General features: G+C 43.2%; 1 protein-coding gene across 5 annotated transcripts in view; it reads left to right on the top strand.

The window, feature by feature from the left end:
• The window catches only part of PCSK6 (proprotein convertase subtilisin/kexin type 6), a 185,775-nt gene that overhangs the window by 132,752 nt on the left and 34,873 nt on the right, over positions 1–18,150 (top strand). For 2 of the 5 annotated variants that reach the window (NM_138323.3, NM_138324.3), the window contains one exon: positions 9,179–10,214. The exons of the other annotated variants lie outside the window; for them this stretch is intronic. In NM_138323.3, the coding sequence (NP_612196.1) occupies positions 9,179–9,192 (14 nt within the window). In that variant the 3' untranslated portion in view covers positions 9,193–10,214. Of the gene's footprint in view, positions 1–9,178; positions 10,215–18,150 lie in introns of those variants that run through there. 5 annotated transcript variants of the gene reach the window in all.

The following is an 18,150-nucleotide window of genomic DNA, read 5'->3' as shown; positions in this document are numbered from 1 at the left end:
TGTCAGATTGAACGTGGCTTAGGTAATTAGTTTTAAAGCCATTTTTAAAGGTTGAGTAGCACATCAGTCATCCATTTTCCTCTTCAGTTCCCAGGCCAAGGATCTGGGTCCTCCCAGGATCACTCTCTTCCAGGAGGCAATTTAGGAATGGAATCGAGTGTGAATCCTGCTTTGCAGTCTTGCAGCATTTGCAGATACTAACAGCTCTTCATTTATTCCTGCACACCTATATTATTTATTTATTTATTTATTTATTTATTTATTTATTTATTTATTTTGAGACAGTCTCGCTCTGTTGCCCAGGCTGGAGTGCAACGGCGCAATCTCGGCTCACTGCAACCTCTGCCTCCCAGGTTTAAGCGATTCTTCTGCCTCAGCCTCCCAAGTAGCTGGGATTACAGGCATCTGCCACCACATCTGGCTAATTTTTTTTTTTTTTTTTTTTTTTTTGTAGTTTTAGTAGAGACAGGGTTTTGCCATGTTGGCCGGGCTGGTCTTGAACTCCTGACCTCAGGTGATCTGCCCACCTCGGCCTCCGAAAGTGCTGCAATTACAGGGTGAGCCACTGCACCCAGCCCAGCACACCTTTATTGAACTCTACTTAGCTCCAGATTTGGGAACACTAGGACCTTGCCCCTGCAGTGCACAGTGTGGGTGTGGAAGAGGGGGCAGCTTCCACCGTGGGTGAGCTTGCTACTCCAGCCGTTACGCACAGAGCCTGCAAGGCTACGAACGGAGCTGGCAACGGTGCAGGCAGAGCTGGGGCGATGGCTCGTCCTGCAGAACATCTGTCGGAGAAGTTTGGCTGCATTTAAGAGAGTTGCCATCCAAAATGCCCGAGATTTTAAGTTTGGACCCAGAATGCAGAAAGTGTCTATTCTCTGAGAAACATGTATGCTTCATTCTCCCACGTCAGACATCAGACAGGCCTGGGGTTGGATCCTCCTGCCTCCGCTTTTCCTGTCTCTCTGGCCTCTGCGCTGGGTCTCCTCTCCTGTAAGATAGGGCTGTGCAGAAGTGAGACCCAGACCAAGTCACTGAAGAGAGGAGCCTTCCCAGCCCGCCCTTCTTGCCTCGGAGCCTACGTTGGTGGTTGCACCTGAACGACAAGGCAGAGCCTGTGCACCTGCCAAGGTCAGGCCAGCCTCCCCACCCAGGGCCACATCCCGCTCGGCACCCTCAGGTGCAGGAAGGTCCCTGCACCTCCTCATGACCTGGGGCCCCCATGGGCATGCCGGATGCATGCAAAGTGCTCTGCAGGAATCGAGCTTGGCTTTGTCAGCACTAAGGGGCATCTGCATGGTGTTCTCCTGTTCATGCAGCACACACTTACCTTGTCTGCACACCTGCCCCATGCCGGGTCTGCTGGGTAGGCATGGGTGTGAGGGGTGTTTCCTTGTTCTTCACTTCTTCCACCCCAAGAGCCCAGCTGAGTGTGCCCTGCAGGCAGTTTGACCAGGGCTATGTACAGGGCCCAAACTTTACTGAGTTGGCCTAGCCCTCCCTTTGTAACCAGGAGCCTACCTAAGGTGCTGGGGCACCTCCCACAGTCTTCCCCTGCCAGGGAGAATTGTGAGACATCAATGTCTAAATAGAAAAAATAATCAGGCATGCTTTCCAATCTTCTCTCTATAATTGACACCATGTATCTTATTTCATGGTTCCAAAGGGTTTTACGTACTTGGTATTCACATAGTAATAAATAGACTGTCTGAGACAATTGATGGCACTTTAAAAAATCCTGTGTCACTCTTGAACTCTGAGAATTCACTTTCTCCCTGATTAAAATTTCTTTTTTCTCTGATCTTTCATCTGTTTCCAAAAGAGCAGCAACCCACATGTGCTGTGTTTTTCCAGATTATTTCAACAGCATTATTTCCAGATTCCCACCAATCTAGGAAAGAAGTCCAATTTATCAAAAGAACGAGAGAGGAATAGGATGATGATTAGCACCTACGTGTTCTCCAGCAGGCACTGGGTGCTATTTTATCTCGCTGTTACAAATCAGTATAGAATCAGGGTAGATGATAATAAGGAATTAAAGTTTCAGGAAAAGTTATTCTTGCTAGTGATGCATATCATGGTATTTACAAATGAAGACATGACCACGATGCCTATGATTTGTGCTTTAAACTATTCCAGAGGGTGGGGGTGAGGAGTGGGAGAGTAGGAAGAGGGTGGGCGAAACCAGATTGAGAAAAGGTTGGGGATTCTTGGGACTGTGTGATGGGGCACGGGGACTCATTGTACTGTTTTCTCCATTTTATGTTTATTTGAGAATTTCCATTACGTGAAGAGTTTTTAAAAGCACATGTATGGGAAACATTTCTTCCGAAGAGGTCAGAATGCAAGACTGTCTGAGAGATTTACATGGCACAAGTAAATTTAACGATGTAAAGATTTCATTGCTTTACAGCAAATACACTTCAGTTCTTCACTTGTGAGGAGTAAATGCTCAATGTGCCGTGGGACACGTAGAGACAGGGATTTTACACTTTGTTTAAAGTGTAAAAAGACACGTAGTTTCTTTTACGTTTGACTGAAGGTGCTCTAGACAGTTACTGGACGTGTGTATGGGAGTGTGTGCTTGGGTGTATATATGTGTGCATGTGTGAGGGAGAGTATTGTGTATAAGTATGTATGTGTGTATGTGGGCTTGTATGTATCTGTGTGTCCATGTGCATGTCTATGTGGATATGTATGTGTGTATATGTGGGCATTAGGTATATGTGTATACTTGTACATGTATCTGTGTGTGTGTGCATGTGGATATGTGGGTGTGTGTATGTGTGTGGTGCATATTGGCTTATGCTTCCTTTTCAAGACCCAGTGTAACACAAGGCTGAGCTCTAGAGCGGCCTGCTTCTCAGATCCATCTTCCACCACTGGTCATTGCGGACCTCGGCAGGCCATTTCCATGCTCCGAGCCTCCAACCTGTCCTCTGCCCAGGGATGGTGGGAGGATTAAACGAAACAGTGCCCGAGAAGTGCTGAGCCTTACCAGCATGAACATGATTCTCTTATTGTGAGTGTTTAGATTCTCCTTTTGTGGAAGAGGGAGCTGAGTCCAAGCTCCTCCACCCAGAGCCTGACTGAGCTCACCTGCCTGGAAGGGGCAGAGCCTGGTGTCAGGGCCGTCTTCCAAGCTCAGGGCCACCCTCACCTCAACCCAACCTGGTGAGGTCTCCACGCCTCTCCAAGGCAGTACAGGCAGCCCATAGTTGATCTGATCTCTTTAGCCCTGTGGCCAGTGGTTTTCATGTGTCTGGCTTCAGGATATTTCTGGTTGGATTTTTTTGTTTAAAGTGTTGTAATTAGAAGATAAAAATTAAATGAAATATTAAAAGCTGGGAGCCTCTGCTGGGTGCCAGCCAGGGTCGGGGTGTTGAGGAATGTTGCTGCTGAGAGGCTGCCTCACTTGGCTGAAATCCAAGAGAGCAGCAGGCCTTCTGAGAACTTGCTTTGACCAGTCCACAAGAGCAGGGGTCCCCATCCCACCTACCGGTCCATGGTCCATGGACTGTTAGGGACTAGACTACACAGCAGGAGGTGAGCGGCCAGCAAACACTTCATGTGTGTTTACAGCTGCTCCCTGTCACTCCCACTTCTGCCTGAACTCTACCTCCTGTCACATCGGCAAAGGCACTAGATTCTCATAGGAGTGCGAACCCCATTGTGAACTGCACGTGCCAGGGATCTAGGTTGCACGCTCCTTATGAGAATCTAATGCCTGATGATCTGTCACTGTCTCCCATCACCCCCAGACGGGACCGTCTAGTCGCAGGGAAAGAAGCTCAGGGCTCCCACTGATTCTACATTATGATGAGTTGTATAGTTATTTCCTTATGTTTTACAATGTAATAATGATAGAAATAAAGTACACAATGATTGTCATGTGCTTGAATCACCCCGAAACCATCCCCACTGCTCCCCACCGGATCCCCAGCTGTGGAAGAATTGTCTTCCAATAAACTGATTCCTTGTGCCAAAAAGGTTGGGAACCACTGCAGTAGAACATTTGAAATGCAATAGGTACTTGGAATAGATGCTTGGTTTTAAGGGTTTTTCCTATAGACTATGTTCCTGAATGGGAGGATTCAGTATCACTGAGATATCTCTTCTTCACAAAGAAGGGTTAGCCGTCACTTTAACACAGTCCTCATCAACATCGCAACAAAATTAAAGGAATGCAAGGAAAACCTATTCTGAAAGAATGGGCACAGATAATAGCTAGAGAAATTCTGAAAAAATGAATGCAGGTGTTTAACTGTGTTTTTTAACTATAATAAAATGATCTGGCACTGGTGCTGGAATAGACCGATCAAGGGAACAGTACGGATAGTCCGTTAATAAAGCCACAGAGATATGCTAAGGATAGCGTTTTAAACTGGTGGGAAAAGACTGAAGTGTTGAATAAGAGTTATTGATAATTGGCCAACCATTTGGAAAGAAAATAATTATCTTGATGCATACACATAAAATTAGAAATTTCTGTCTGGCAGAAAACATCATAAAATTAGAAAAATATTCCTGTAATCTCAGCACTTTGGGAGGCCAAGGCAGGTGGATCACGAGGTCAGGAGATCCAAGACCATCCTGGCTAACACGGTGAAACCCCGTCTCTACTAAAAATACAAAAAATTAGCCGGGCGCAGTGGCGGCCACCTGTAGTCCCAGCTACTCAGGAGGCTGAGGCAGGAGAATGGCATGAACCCGGGAGGCAGAGCTTGCAGTGAGCTGAGATTGCACCACTGCACTCCAGCCTGGGCGACAGAGTGAGACCCCGTCTGTAAAAAAAAAAAAAAAAAAAAAAAAAAATTAGAAAAATATTTATAAAATATTTTGGACAAACTCAAGTGATTCACAGATGGCCTTTTCACTTCTGTCTAGCCCATGGGTTGGAAAACTTTTTCTGTAAAGGGTCAGATAGTAAATGTTTGAGGTTTTCTGGTCTCTGAGACAACTACTCAACTCTCCCATTATAGTGTAAAACAGCCATGGAAATTATGTAAATGAGAGGCCGTGCTGTGTTCTGACCTCACTTTATAAAATAGGCGGTAGGTCCTGGCCTTAGTTTGCTGTCCCCACTCTGCCCTGTTTACATGTTCAGTTGAATTGAGTCTTCTGTTTCATGGTAGTTAAGAGGGCTGTTTATTTGGCTGTTATATGAGGCATCCCATCCTGTCCCCATTTTCCCACCACCCATGAAGTTATATTGTCCTGCTTGCTGGTAAATATTTAACAACTAGTGCTCTGGGGGAAATTATTTATAGATATTGACATATCACATAAGTTCATTATAAATTTTACTGATATAAAGGATGTTAGCCAACAATTTACAAATAATAAAATATACATTGCTTGTATTATAAATTCCATTTAGCCAGTTGATTCTCAGAGACTGCTTTCATTGATTTTTGCCGAATTCTGGTTCCATAACCAGCCGATGGCTGCCATGCATGAACAGTTGTCTTTCCAGCGTAAATATTGGGTAATATTTTTGCCACAGAAACAACAAAGACATATGTCAGAACTTCATTCACTCACCAGGGATGGGAACAACTTCCTTGCTAAATTGGAAAATAATTTTCAAATACTGAAAGAATATCTCTTCAGTTTTGTAAGCTGTTCACAGTGTAATACCTACAGACATGAAACATTTTTAAGTTATACCTGCAGTATTAATGCTTTCTCCATCACTTTCTTAAGCCCAGAAAATCAACAGTAAACCCAGCCCTTGTTTGTAGCATTTGTCGATTTCCATATGGGAATATCCCGCCATGGCCAATTTCAAGCTTTTCACGTGACGTCACTGAAGACGGGTTGGTAAAAGAGGGGTCCAGTAGCCACCATGAGATAGTGCTTCCCCTGTGTAGATAGAACAGATGTGAGTAACCCTGAAGCACAGATAATGACAAAATATAGTGAGATCATGAGGAAGGGGCAATTTGTGAATATTCATTACCTTTGTTTTTAGTATAATTTATTCAATTGTAAGCTTCTATAATTTAATGTTTAATAAAGACTGTGTTTAACAACCAGCTCACAAAGGTTCTGAAAATGTTCACAATCAGTTCCGTTAAGCCAGTGCTGGTCGGCTGCAGCGCACCACTGCATATTGGGAATTGAACGGGTAGAGGGTTGTCTTTCTCTTGGGACAAGCACACTTTAAGGGGAGCGTATTCATTGCAGGACCAAGGCTCAACGTGCACTGCTCCCCACCCGTCCCAGCTCCTCTTTATGCTTGCGGGGGCCAGCCACTCTCCAGTCCTCCCCAGGAATATACGTCGCAACCAGGCATTCTTTTTTCATTGGCCTCATTCTTCCCAGGGCCGGCTCAGAGGCCCCCCGGTCTAATTGCCATTGGTTTAACTGCTGTTTAATAAATCAAACTATTTTTCTGACTAAATCTTGCTAATCAGTAAATAGTGATCATCTGAATTCTCCATATGCTAAAAAGTCATTTTTCCAAGGGGTAAAATTAAAGTAATATTTGGCATAAAAAAATTCTAATACACAGGCAGACACCTTTATGTCTAATATCTCAACTGTAGAGGTTAGATAATCACAGAGTGCTATACTGTGTTATAGCCTTAAAATGTAGAGTGCTTACAGATCACTAAGAAATATTTAAATAATATCACTAAATAGGCCAAAATCCTGAAAAGCAATTCGTAAAGAAAACATACAAATAACCAGTAAACACAAGATAGTCAACATTTGTAGTATCCAAATAAAATATAAACTAAAGGCCAGGTGCGTTGTCTCACGCCTATAATCCCAGCACTTTGAGAGGCCAAGGCAGGTGGATCACGAGGTCAGGAGTTGGAGACCAGTCTGGCCAACGTGGTGAAACCCTATCTCTATAAAAATACAAAAATTAGCCGGGCATGGTGGCGTGCACCTGTAGTCTCAGCTACTCGGGAGGCTGAGGCAGGAGAATTGCTTGAACCAGGGAGGTGGAGGTTGCAGTGAGCCGAGATTGTGCCACTGCACTCCAGCCTGGGCAACAGAGACTCCGTCTCAGAAAAAATAAAAATAAAAAAAATAAACGAAAACACAAGAAGGCAAAATCATGATAGAAAGCCAACAAGCAGCAGTTGCAGAGATGGTAGAACAAATGTGTGAAACGAATCTGTATGGCACTCTGCACTCGGGGCCACAGAGTGATGTGATTTAAAGAACGGGAATGCAGGGGCAGAGGAGCCTGGGTCCCACGCTGGCTGCACCGGTGACGGGCTGGGAGACCTGGGACTGATGACTCCCTCATCAGCGTCTTACCAGCACCTGGTGGACATGAAATTTCTCACGCAGCCTGTGTAGGTTGTCACAGAAGCCCAGGCTCCTCTCCCCTCTCCCTACCTGCCACTGCAAGTGTGTGTTTTACCACAGCCTTTAGGAATTGGTCCATTTGCTCTCTGGGAAAATTCCAGCCTGGAGAAGCTGGTAGAGACCTGCCTCCATGCCTCTGAGGAAAATCAAATTGGCTGCGACCTCTACAGAACCCAGGAATTTGGAATTCACTGAATCCAGGGTTGCTGCGCTGGAGGCAAAGCTGGGCTGCTATTGGGTTGGCTGGCCCTAAGGGAAAACTCTTCTGACTTTTGAACTCAGCAGGTACATTTCTATTCTTCCTTTCTTCTTCTTAAGCAACACTTTTCCCGAGAAAAACAAACAAAACTTTGCTAACCAAAAGCTTTGTGTTGAAACTGCCAGGAGGAGATGATAAGCCAAGCATTGCCTTGGCTCCTCAGGACTTTTGCAGGCCCCCGGGGCAGAGCCATTCAGGAAGTTCCCACAGGGCTTGGCTTTCTTTGGAGCTCAGCCCAGTGCACCTGACTCTACCCTGTGCTTCTGTGGAATCCCAGCTTTGGTTCTGTCCTTCCCAGAAACCTGAAAGTTGAAGCCAAGACAGGATCAAGGAAGGTCTAGTCAGAACTGTGGTGCTTTTGCCAAAACTTGCAGAATAAGCTATCGGGGCACAGATCAGTTACGAAAACCAAATCTGACCCGTTATCCAGGCGACTTGAGTGAGAGGAGCAGGAGGGTGGCGGGAGGAGACCAGGCTGCCGCAGACACTGGAGCTCCTGAACGGGATTTGGACCTCAGGGTGGTGTTTAGGGAGAGCCCAGAGCAGAGCAGCTGGCAGGCGTGGTCTGAGTTCAGCTGGCCGCTTCCTGGCCTGGTCACGGAATCTCTCAGTCTCTGTTTCTGCACGTGTGTGATGGGAATAATAGTGTCTACTTCAACGGGCCTGGGGAGATTCAAATGGAGGAAGGTTTCATATGAACAAATCCTTTATGAGGAGTTTCAAAGGTTTCAGGATTACAATCTTTGTCCATAGTGCCTATAACATCAGAAACACCAAGAAGTGTTTCTTGATATTGAGCTTCCTTGAAGCCAATTACACATGTCAGTTACATATCGAATTCTGTGTTCTGCCTTGTGCTGTGACGGTGTCTCACGAAGGTGCTGCTATACCTTTGGAAGACTCCAGAAAGCCCAGGGAAGCAGGTTCTTTTCAAACATGATAGTTCACACTTCATACCTCGAAGCATGTATTTTGATGACGTTTTACTCCGCAAATGTCACACTGGCCCCACTGCGTGTCTCCCCAGACTGGCCCAGCCCTGCTGTCGTCAGGCCTTGCCTGTTGCCCAGTAAAGAGATCTAGCCCTCACTTCCTTGCCTCGGCTCCCCCAGCCTCCCCCACGGTGAAGCCTGGGCGTTGGAATGGCTGCTGACGTTCCCACCGGGGAGGAGCAGCGGAGGCGCAGGGGCCGGTCCGACCCAGCGGGACCCCGGGGGGGCGGGGGTTGTGGCTTTTCCCTCCACTTCCAGGTGAGGCTTGGTATCAGGCCTCCCCAGCATCTGGCTGCCTGGAGGGGGCAGGTAACACAACCCAGAAGGAAGGTTTACCCAAGGAAAGACAGGACATAAAGTGTATGCCCTTCCTGTCTGAGGGCACATTGGTCTCACAAGGCCTGTTTGGAAGACTTCCCCCAGCTAAGCAACCACCCCGTTTCTTTGTGGAGCTGCAGCCAGCTTGAAACACAGCTCCTTCCATTTGTCAACCCCGGGCGCTTCCTCCTGCTGCCCTCCACTCCTGTTGCCCTGGGATTGCACCTCCCAATAAAGCTTCAGCCCATGGGCTTCACTTCAGTCCCTTGTTTTCCAGGGAACCTGGACTAAAACACGTGTTCCGGTGGCAGATTGAACAAGAGCTTTGGTAATCTCTGTGAAATACTGCAGAGGGACAGATGACCAAAGCCACCACATTTAGAACTTTGGCTGCCTTTGGAAGTCCAGAGCTGGATCTCTCAGCTCCCGCCCCCAGAGGCTCAGCACTTTGGACATGGCTCACAAACAGTTGTTGATTGACTGCATGAATGCGTGTGCGTGCAAGCATGAACCTTGTTTAAATCAAGAGCTTACATAATTTTAACCAGTTCTGTCTTCAGCTGTACATACTCAGTAAAATGTTTAATGAAGGGGAAGAGATTAGTCTCTTCTGTGTGACCATGTTTTCCCTTTATTCATCCTAAAAAGTTCCATGAATTCTTGATTTCCTTTCAGTGGCCCTTTCAACAATGTCTTTTTTCCCAAGAGCATAACTGTTCTCATTTTATTGCTAGCCATCTTGATCTGTGTTTTATTGACATCTCTTTTGAGCTAATCTTCATTTCTAAGATAAGAGTTGAGATTTTGCAATCTGTGTTCGATGGCTCAATCTATCCTGTGCTTGATGCTAGAAAGGAAGACAGATTTAAAGCACATGCCTTCTGTGCCGGCTTTCAAGTTTGTCACTAAACTCTCATTTCTGGAAAGTGCAATTATAGAGTATCACTCCCACTTCCTTGGAAACAGAGCTGAAGAACTTGGCACACTCTCCAAACAGTCACCATACACACTGTTGTCAAAAAGTTCCATTTTTAACCCCATTTGCATTAATATTGCAGTCAATCTCTTTACCTCCTTTTCTCTTTCACGGGGCCGTGACAGTGACGCCTTTCCCCAAAACTCTCCTCGTTTGAGAAAAAAAGAAGTATGTATCCCCACTTATCTCGGGGAGAAATGCAACCAACTGCTGCTGTGCACATTTATGAATCACAGTATTGTTTAGTCGGTTCTGTATCTCCAGTAGAAAGCATAACAAAAAGATGACCTTTGTCTCACCTCATAGCTAATTTTTGCAAATAAAATACTAAACATTGATGAAAATGAAAATGACAGATCTGAGGAAGAGGGAGAGCTCTCTTGAAACCCCTTTCCCAGATTTGCCCTCAGTTTTAGGAATGAGGTACGCTTGGGCATTCCTGTTGCCTGCATGGTTCGGCATTCTGGCAGCCAGGTTCGCCCCAGAATAGATAAGTGTGTTTGATTTTCGAACATTTGACTTTATTACCTATTTCCAGAAACACTTCGTGTTCAAACTACGTCTCTACAGGCATTTCTACTTGGTCTTTTTCTCCCCTGACATTTCACAGAGTCCTAACTGTGCTGCATGTATAACTTGTTCTTTCTTTTTGTTACTTGCATAGCAAGCATGTTTCTATGTCATTAAATATCCTTTGTAAGCAGCATTTTATAGATTTTTATAATACTTCACCAACAGAAGCACCATAATTTATTTAAGCATCTCTCTATTGTTGGACATGTAGATTGCTTTCCATTTTTTCCTATTATGAGCGGACAGCTTAGTACAAAAAGCCTTCTCCTGAATTTAAAATTATTTCTTTGGGATTATTCACCAGAAGTAAAATTACTGGGATAAATAAGAGGTGGAAACCACAAATATGCCTGCCTTTGATACATATTGCCAATTTGCTTTTCGAAATAGTTGAACTGATTTGTAGTCTTACCAGGAGTGGGCAGTTCTGGAGGAGGTAGATGATACCCTTCCTTAACTTACATTGTGATCATTACTAACAAAGGTGAACCTTTTTTCAAATGTTTGTGCACTGTGTTTTTTCTTTTGAAAATTGCCCTTTCTGGCGTGGTGGCTCACGCTTGTAATCCCAGCACTTTGGGAGGCCGAGGCAGGCGGATCACCTGAGGTCAGGAGTTTGAGACCAGCCTGGCCAACAGGGTGAAACCCCGCCTCTACCAAAAATACAAAAATTAGCCGGTCATGGTGGTGGGTGCCTATAATCCCAGCTACTCAGGAGGCTGAGGCAGGAGAATCACTTGAACCCGGGAGGCGGAGGTTGCAGTGAGCCGAGATTTTGCCACCTCACTCCAGCCTGGATGACAGAACGAGACTCCGTCTCAAAAAAAAGAAAAAAGAAAATTCCCTTTTGTCTTTCGCGAGAGCGCTCAGTGTTGCTATCAAGCTGATAAGTATGTAGTCTGTGTAAAATATTGGTAAAATATTGGTGTAATAACCCTGTGTGTGTCGTAATTCATATAAATTTTTTTTCTGGCCTGCTGTTTCACTTTTGACTTTTTAAAAATAATTTTAAATTTCCCCTCCAGAGTTTTGATAATTATTTCCTTTTTTAAAAAAGTCCCAATTTGTTTGATTTTATTTTCTTCATAATCTGTTTGCCTTTTTTTCAGTCTAAATATTAGTGTCTCTAAAAAATAAATAAAAGATATATAAAACTTTTTCTAAGTTGCTAACAAATTACTCCAAAACAAAGTCAAGATCAAAATGTTAAAAGATGTCGTGGACTTTTATTTCCAACAACAGAGAAGACAAGTGTCTTGAAATCTCCCTCCCACAGAAAAGAATTTTAAATGTTGGTTGAAATGTTCACAGCCAAAGAGGTGAACAGAATCATGGTCCGGCTTTTGCTTGAAGGCATCTGCTTCATCTGTGGAGCCCACCTAGCAGACCACATAACACTGGGACCTCAGGGGCACCCAAGGAAAGGAGACACAGACAAAGCTGTGTAACTAGAACCCACAAAACAAGTGCTTACAAACAAGTCCAATAACTTCAGTAGTTTCACTAAAGGCATACAGACTCGTTGCTCCCCTTGAGAGACAAAAATTGTCATATTGGATTTTTTTAAAAAATGTATTTAAAAATGTATTTGGGAGGCTGAGGTGGGCGGATCACTTGAAGTCAGGCATTCAAGAGCAGCCTGGCCTACATGGTGAAACCTCGTCTCTACTAAAAATACAAAAATTAGCCGCATGTGGTGGTGTGTGCCTAATAGTAGTCCCAGCTACTCAAGAGGCTGAGGCAGGAGGATCACTGGAACCTAGAAGGCAGAGGTTGGAATGAGCCAAGTTCATGCCAGTGCCCTCCAGCCTGGGCGACAGTGAGACTCCATCTCAAAAAATACAAATTAAAAAAAAGTATTTTCTGTAGTGCCAGGTATATTTCATTTACCCACCAGATCCATTCTCCACTCCTCCACCCCACAGACTCCCTTGCCTGTGGCTTATAGTTGAGTTCAGCCAAGGGGAAACTCCAGCAGGAGAGGAGGGAGGGAGGAGATATTTATTTATGAGTTAGTGATTCTCCAGTCCTTCATCAGCCAAACAGAAATGTTATGGCAAAAAGCGTTATTGGAGCTTCATATGTAGCTCTGTGTATGTATCAATATGTAGAGGGTCTATACATATTGGTAAAAGGTTTAGTTCAGTTCTAAAAGTTCCACCTCTAATCTTTTATGCAATTTATAACACAGCCTTAAAATACATATAGAGCAAAAACTTGTTAAAACTACAAAGAGAAAATGACAAACTCACACAGGAGGGAGAGATTTAGCATACCTCGGATATATTTGATAGATAAAACAGCAAAAATTCATAATAATAGAAGATGCAAATATCTCAATTGACAATTTAGGTCAAATGGACATATTGGAACACTGTGCCAAACAACAGAATAATACACCAAATTTTTTATTTATTTATTTTTTTTTTTGAGACAGAATCTTGTTCTGTCGCACAGGCTGGAGTGCAGTGACGCAATCTCGGCTCACTGCAACCTCCGCCTCCCACATACAAGTGATTCTCCTGCCTCAGCCTCCTGAGTAGCTGGGACTACAGGTGTGTGCCTATATTTTGTATTTTTAGTAGAGACAGGGTTTCACCGTGTTGGCCAGGCTGGTCTCGAACTCCTGATCCGTGATCTGCCCGCCTTGGCCTCCCAAAGTGCTGGGATTACAGGCATGAGCCACCGCGCCCGGCCAATACACCCACTTTTCAAACACGAATGGAAGATTTATGAAAATTGGCCACATGTCGAGCCATTTGGCAAGCTTCGATGGATTTCCAAGGATTGGTAGCATATAAACCCTATTCTCTGACATTACACTTAAGTTAGAAATCAAAATCAAAAAGATAATTAGAAAGTTTCCATACATTTGAAAATTGAAAAATACTTCTAAATAATTTATGTGTTAAAAGAAAAAAACATAATTTATATTAGAAAATACTTAAAACTGGATGATAATAAAAATACTACATATTCAAATAAGGAAGATACAGCTAAAGCTGTAGTTAGACAACTTTATGGCTGTAATTGCATATATCAGAAAAGAGAAAATCCTGAAAATTAATGTGCTAAGCATCCAACTTAAGATGATAGAAAAAAACCAACAACATAAAGAATGAAGAAAGAAGGAATTTTTAAAATAGCAGAAATTAACAAAATAGAAAACAAACATATGTAGAGAAAATTAAAATGCCATAAGCTGGTTCTTGAAAGAAACTAATAAAATTGATAAACTTGTAAGTAGACCAAGGAAAAAGCTGAAACTATATGATTTCAGGAAAGAAAAACGCATGATTATAGATCCTATATACATTAAAATTATGTGACAAAGGAATTCTAAGTGAAATGAACAAATTCCAAGAAAAAATACAACTTAACAAAATTGACACGTTTACATAAAATTAAAATTGTCCTATTAAAGAAATTGATTCTATAATTTAAAAGAAAACTCAAGGCCAGAGCAATTTACCAGCAAATTCTGCCAAACATTTAAATGGAAGAAATAATGTCAGTGTTCTGTAAATTCTTCTAGATAGTAGAAAAATAGGGAAACAGTCCCCACTTTGTTGAATGAAGCCAGAGTTTGGTTTTTTTTTTTTTTGAGACGGAGTCTCACTCTGTTGCCCAGGCTGGAGTGCAGTGGTGCAATCTCAGCCCACTGTAACTTCTGCCTCCCAGATTCAAACGATTCTCCTGCCTTAGTCTCCCAAGTAGCTGGGATTACAGGCATGCGCCACCACACCCAGCTAATTTGTGTACTTTTAGCAGAGACAGGGTTTTGCCATGTTGGCCAGGCTGGTCTCCAACTCCCAACCTCAGATGATCCACCCGCCTCAGCCTCCCAAAGTGCTGGGATTACAGGCGTGAGCCACCGTGCCCAGCTGAAGCCAGTGTATTCTTGATACCAAATCCCAAGAGCACATATGAGAATGGAGAATTTTCAGCCAATCTCACTCAAGAACATAAATACAAAAATTCTAAGCCCAATATCAAGAAAACTAAATCCAACAGTATTAAAAAGATGAAATACTCTGTTCCTCTTTTCCTGCCTTGTTTTAGATTAATCAAATATTTGTCAGCATTCCACTTTATCTCCTCTATTGGCTTTTTAGCTGTACTTTGAGTGGTGCTCTAGGGATTACAATATGCATCCTTAATTTATTACACTTTACTTAGAATTAATATTGAACAGCTTTACACTTCTCAGATAAAAGGATCTAATAACAGTGTAATTCCATCCCCCTCCACTTCCTCATTTGTGCTGTAATGGTGTTGTATATTTTACTTCTGTATTTGTTACAAACTCCTTCTTAAAACAGTGATATTACTTTTTGCTTTAAGCAATCTTCTTTTTTTTTTTTTTTTTTTTTTTTGAGACAGGGTCTTACTCTGTTTCCCAGGCTGGAGTACAGTGGCACAATGTCAGCTCACTGCAACCTCCACCTCCCAGGTTCAAGCAATTCTCCTGCTTCAGCCTCCCAAGTAGCTGGGATTACAGGCATGCACCACCGCGCCCGGCTAATTTTTGTATTTTCAGTAGAGACAGGTTTTCGCCATGTTGGCCGGACTGGTCTTGAACTCCTGACCTCAAGTGACCCATACACCTTGGCCTCCCAAAATGCTGGGATTATAAGGGTGTTGTCTTTTAAATAAATTAAGGGAAACAGCTACTCTTCAGTGTGTTTACTGACATGCTTACCATTTCTAGTGCTCTTTATTCTTTCCTGTAGATCTGAATTTTCATCTGCTATCATTTCCCTTAGCCTGAAACACATCCTTTACCATTTCTTATCAAACTGGGCTTCTGGCAAGGACTTTGCTCAGCTTTGTTTTCTTTGAAAATGTCTTTACTTCAACCCATTTTTGAATGGTATTTTCACTGGATATAGAATTCTGGGTTGGGAGTATTTATTCCAGCACTTTAAAAATACCAAATTTTTAGGCCGGGCATGGGGACTCATGCCTGTAATCCCAGCACTTTGGGAGGCCAAGGTGGCCAGATCACCTGAGGTGAGGAGTTCAAGACCAGTGTGGCCAACATGGTAAAACCTCATCTCTACTAAAAATACAAAAATTAGCCAGGCGTGGTGGCAGGCGCCTGTAATCCCAACTACTAATCCTAACTACTTGGGAGGCTGAGGCAGGAGGATCACTTGAATCCAGGAGGCAGAGGTTGCAGTGAGCCGAGATTGCACCACTGCACTCCAGCCTGGATAACAGAGCAAGACTTTGTCAAGAAAAAAAAAAAAAAAAACCCCACACTTTTGGCCAGGCGCGGTGCGGCTCACACCTGTAATCCTAGCACTTTGGGAGGCTGAGACAGGTGGATCACCTGAGGTTCGGAGTTCAAGACCAGCCTGGCCAACATGGTGAAACCCTGTCTCTACTAAAAATACAAAATTTAGCTGGGTGTGGTGGTGGCATCTGTAATCCCAGCTACTCGGGAGGCTGAGGCAGGAGAATCGCTTGATCCTGGGAGGCGGAGGTTGCAGTGAGCTGAGATTGCACCACTACACTCCAGCCTGGGTGACTCTGTCTCAAAAAAAAAAAAAAAAAATTTGGGAGAAGCACATAAATGCCTTAAAATTAAAAATATAAGTCAAAAATTCAAAATTCAATAGATATGTTAGAAGATAAACTTGAGGAAATCTCCCAGAAAATGAAAGGGTGGTGGGGGAAAGACAATAAATATTGGACCCAGTAAGAAATTTTGTTAGAACATTGGGAGGTGGGGGCGGGAGAGGGATCATGTGAGTATGTGGAAGATAGTGTAAGAGAACTGAATTCTCAGCTTCCTAGGTGAGACATCACTGGACAATGTCTAACATCAAGAAACCAGGACATAGCATATGAGTATTTTTGTCTAGCAATGTAAGGGCAAATGCCAGAAAAATAACTCAAAGTGTTAAAAAGAGGTGGGGAGTCAGGGGGACTCCAAGAGGTAGAATGGAGTGAAGGAGGACTGCTTTCTTTGTTATAAACCTTGTAAGAGTTTTTGACTTTCCAGACATTTAATTTATTACTTTGGAAAAGCTGGAGCATCTTAAAAGATAGAATGACCTTATAGATGCCATTAAGAAAAGTGCTGTGTTGTCCATTGTACACACAGGTGATCATTCTTTCCCGAAAGGATATTTGTTTAGGATTCTTCGATCCTTTTCCTGGCATTTAAAATACCATCTTTCAGGGTTTTTGTGGCTATAGGAGCACAGGGAAGCCTTGTATCTCCCCTTTCTTAGCCTGGGTCTGAGAGTTCATGTGTGTATGTGTGTGTGCTCAGGTAAGTACGTGAGTGTGGGTGTGCATGTTATGGGTGCCTTGTGCACACATGTCCATGTGCATCCATGGACGTGTGTGTACATGGGGAGCACACATATATGTACTCTTTTTCTTATCCTCCTTTCCAAGCCATTCCTAAATTCCTTTTTACCTTTCTCTTACTTGCCATAATGTGAACTTAAAGTGTATTTTAATAATGTGTTTATTGAGTAAAGGTTGATATTTCTGTTTGTGTGTGTATACATATACATACAATATACACAAAAAATTACTGTGTGTATGTGTAATTTTATATATATATATATATATATATTGAGAAAGGGTCTTGCTCTGTCACCCAGGCTGGAATGTAGTGTGCAATCACGGCTCACTGCAGCCTCCAACTCTTGGGCTCTAGCAATCCTCCCAACTCAGCCTCCTGAATGGATAGGACTACAAGGACACACCACCACGCCTGGCTAATTTTTCTATTTTATTTTTTGTAGAAACGGAGTCTCACTATGTTGCCAGGCTGGTCTCGAACTCCTGGCCTCAAGAGATCCTCCCACATCAGCCTCCCAAAGCTCTGCGATCACAAGCGTGAGCTACTGTGCCTGGCCCCTACACGGTATTTTTAATAATAGCTTTATTGAGATATAATTCACATACTGTGAAATTCACCCCTTTTAAGGAGTAAATTATAGGAGTATTCAGTATGTGAATTATAGGGGTGTTTTTGTATATTTTTATAAATGGATGGAAGTAAGCTTTTTTATTCCTTCCGCCCAAACCTCTGCATTAACCTTTGTAACTTGAACATAGCCATGGGTGGCTGGTTCACCAAATCTCAGAAGGAAGAAACTTCCACTGGTGTTTTAAACTGAAACATATTTACGTGATTTTTCTAGGGCTCTCTTACTTCACTGTGTTTCAATTAAGGAATTTCTTCCTGCATATTTTAAGTATGGGGACATAGGGGGAGAATTAATTAAACTCTATATTGTTAATAACTTCTCCTATAGCCAGGAAAACCCAGGAATCCAAAAGTATTAGCTCAGAGTCCTTAATCTAATAGAACTTTCCCCCACCCCTACTTGCTTTGTCTCCAATTGTAAATTTCCTTCACAAGGATTTTAATGCTTAACTCAAAATGCCAGGCATAGGAAAGCTTCATTATTGCTGGTACTTTCCTGTTGGCAAATTCAACCATAGTCTCCCCTTAATTCTGGTTCTTTCTTTGCATAATGGGAATAATCCTGTTTGTTCATTATGAATTTAATTCATTGAGGGGAAATACTGCATTGAAGATAGTGAATGATGATAAATCCATTTACTGGCAGCCTCAGTTGGCACTAGCTGTGGATTATCCTCTGCCTCTCACAATGACATTCCCTGGCCTTCATTGTTGACATCTGGAGGCAGCCTGCTGGCAGTGCTGG

This window comes from Homo sapiens, chromosome 15 (assembly GCF_000001405.40).
Source record: "Homo sapiens chromosome 15, GRCh38.p14 Primary Assembly".
Lineage (NCBI taxonomy): Eukaryota > Metazoa > Chordata > Mammalia > Primates > Hominidae > Homo > Homo sapiens.
This window is presented reverse-complemented; position numbering and strand designations above follow the sequence as displayed.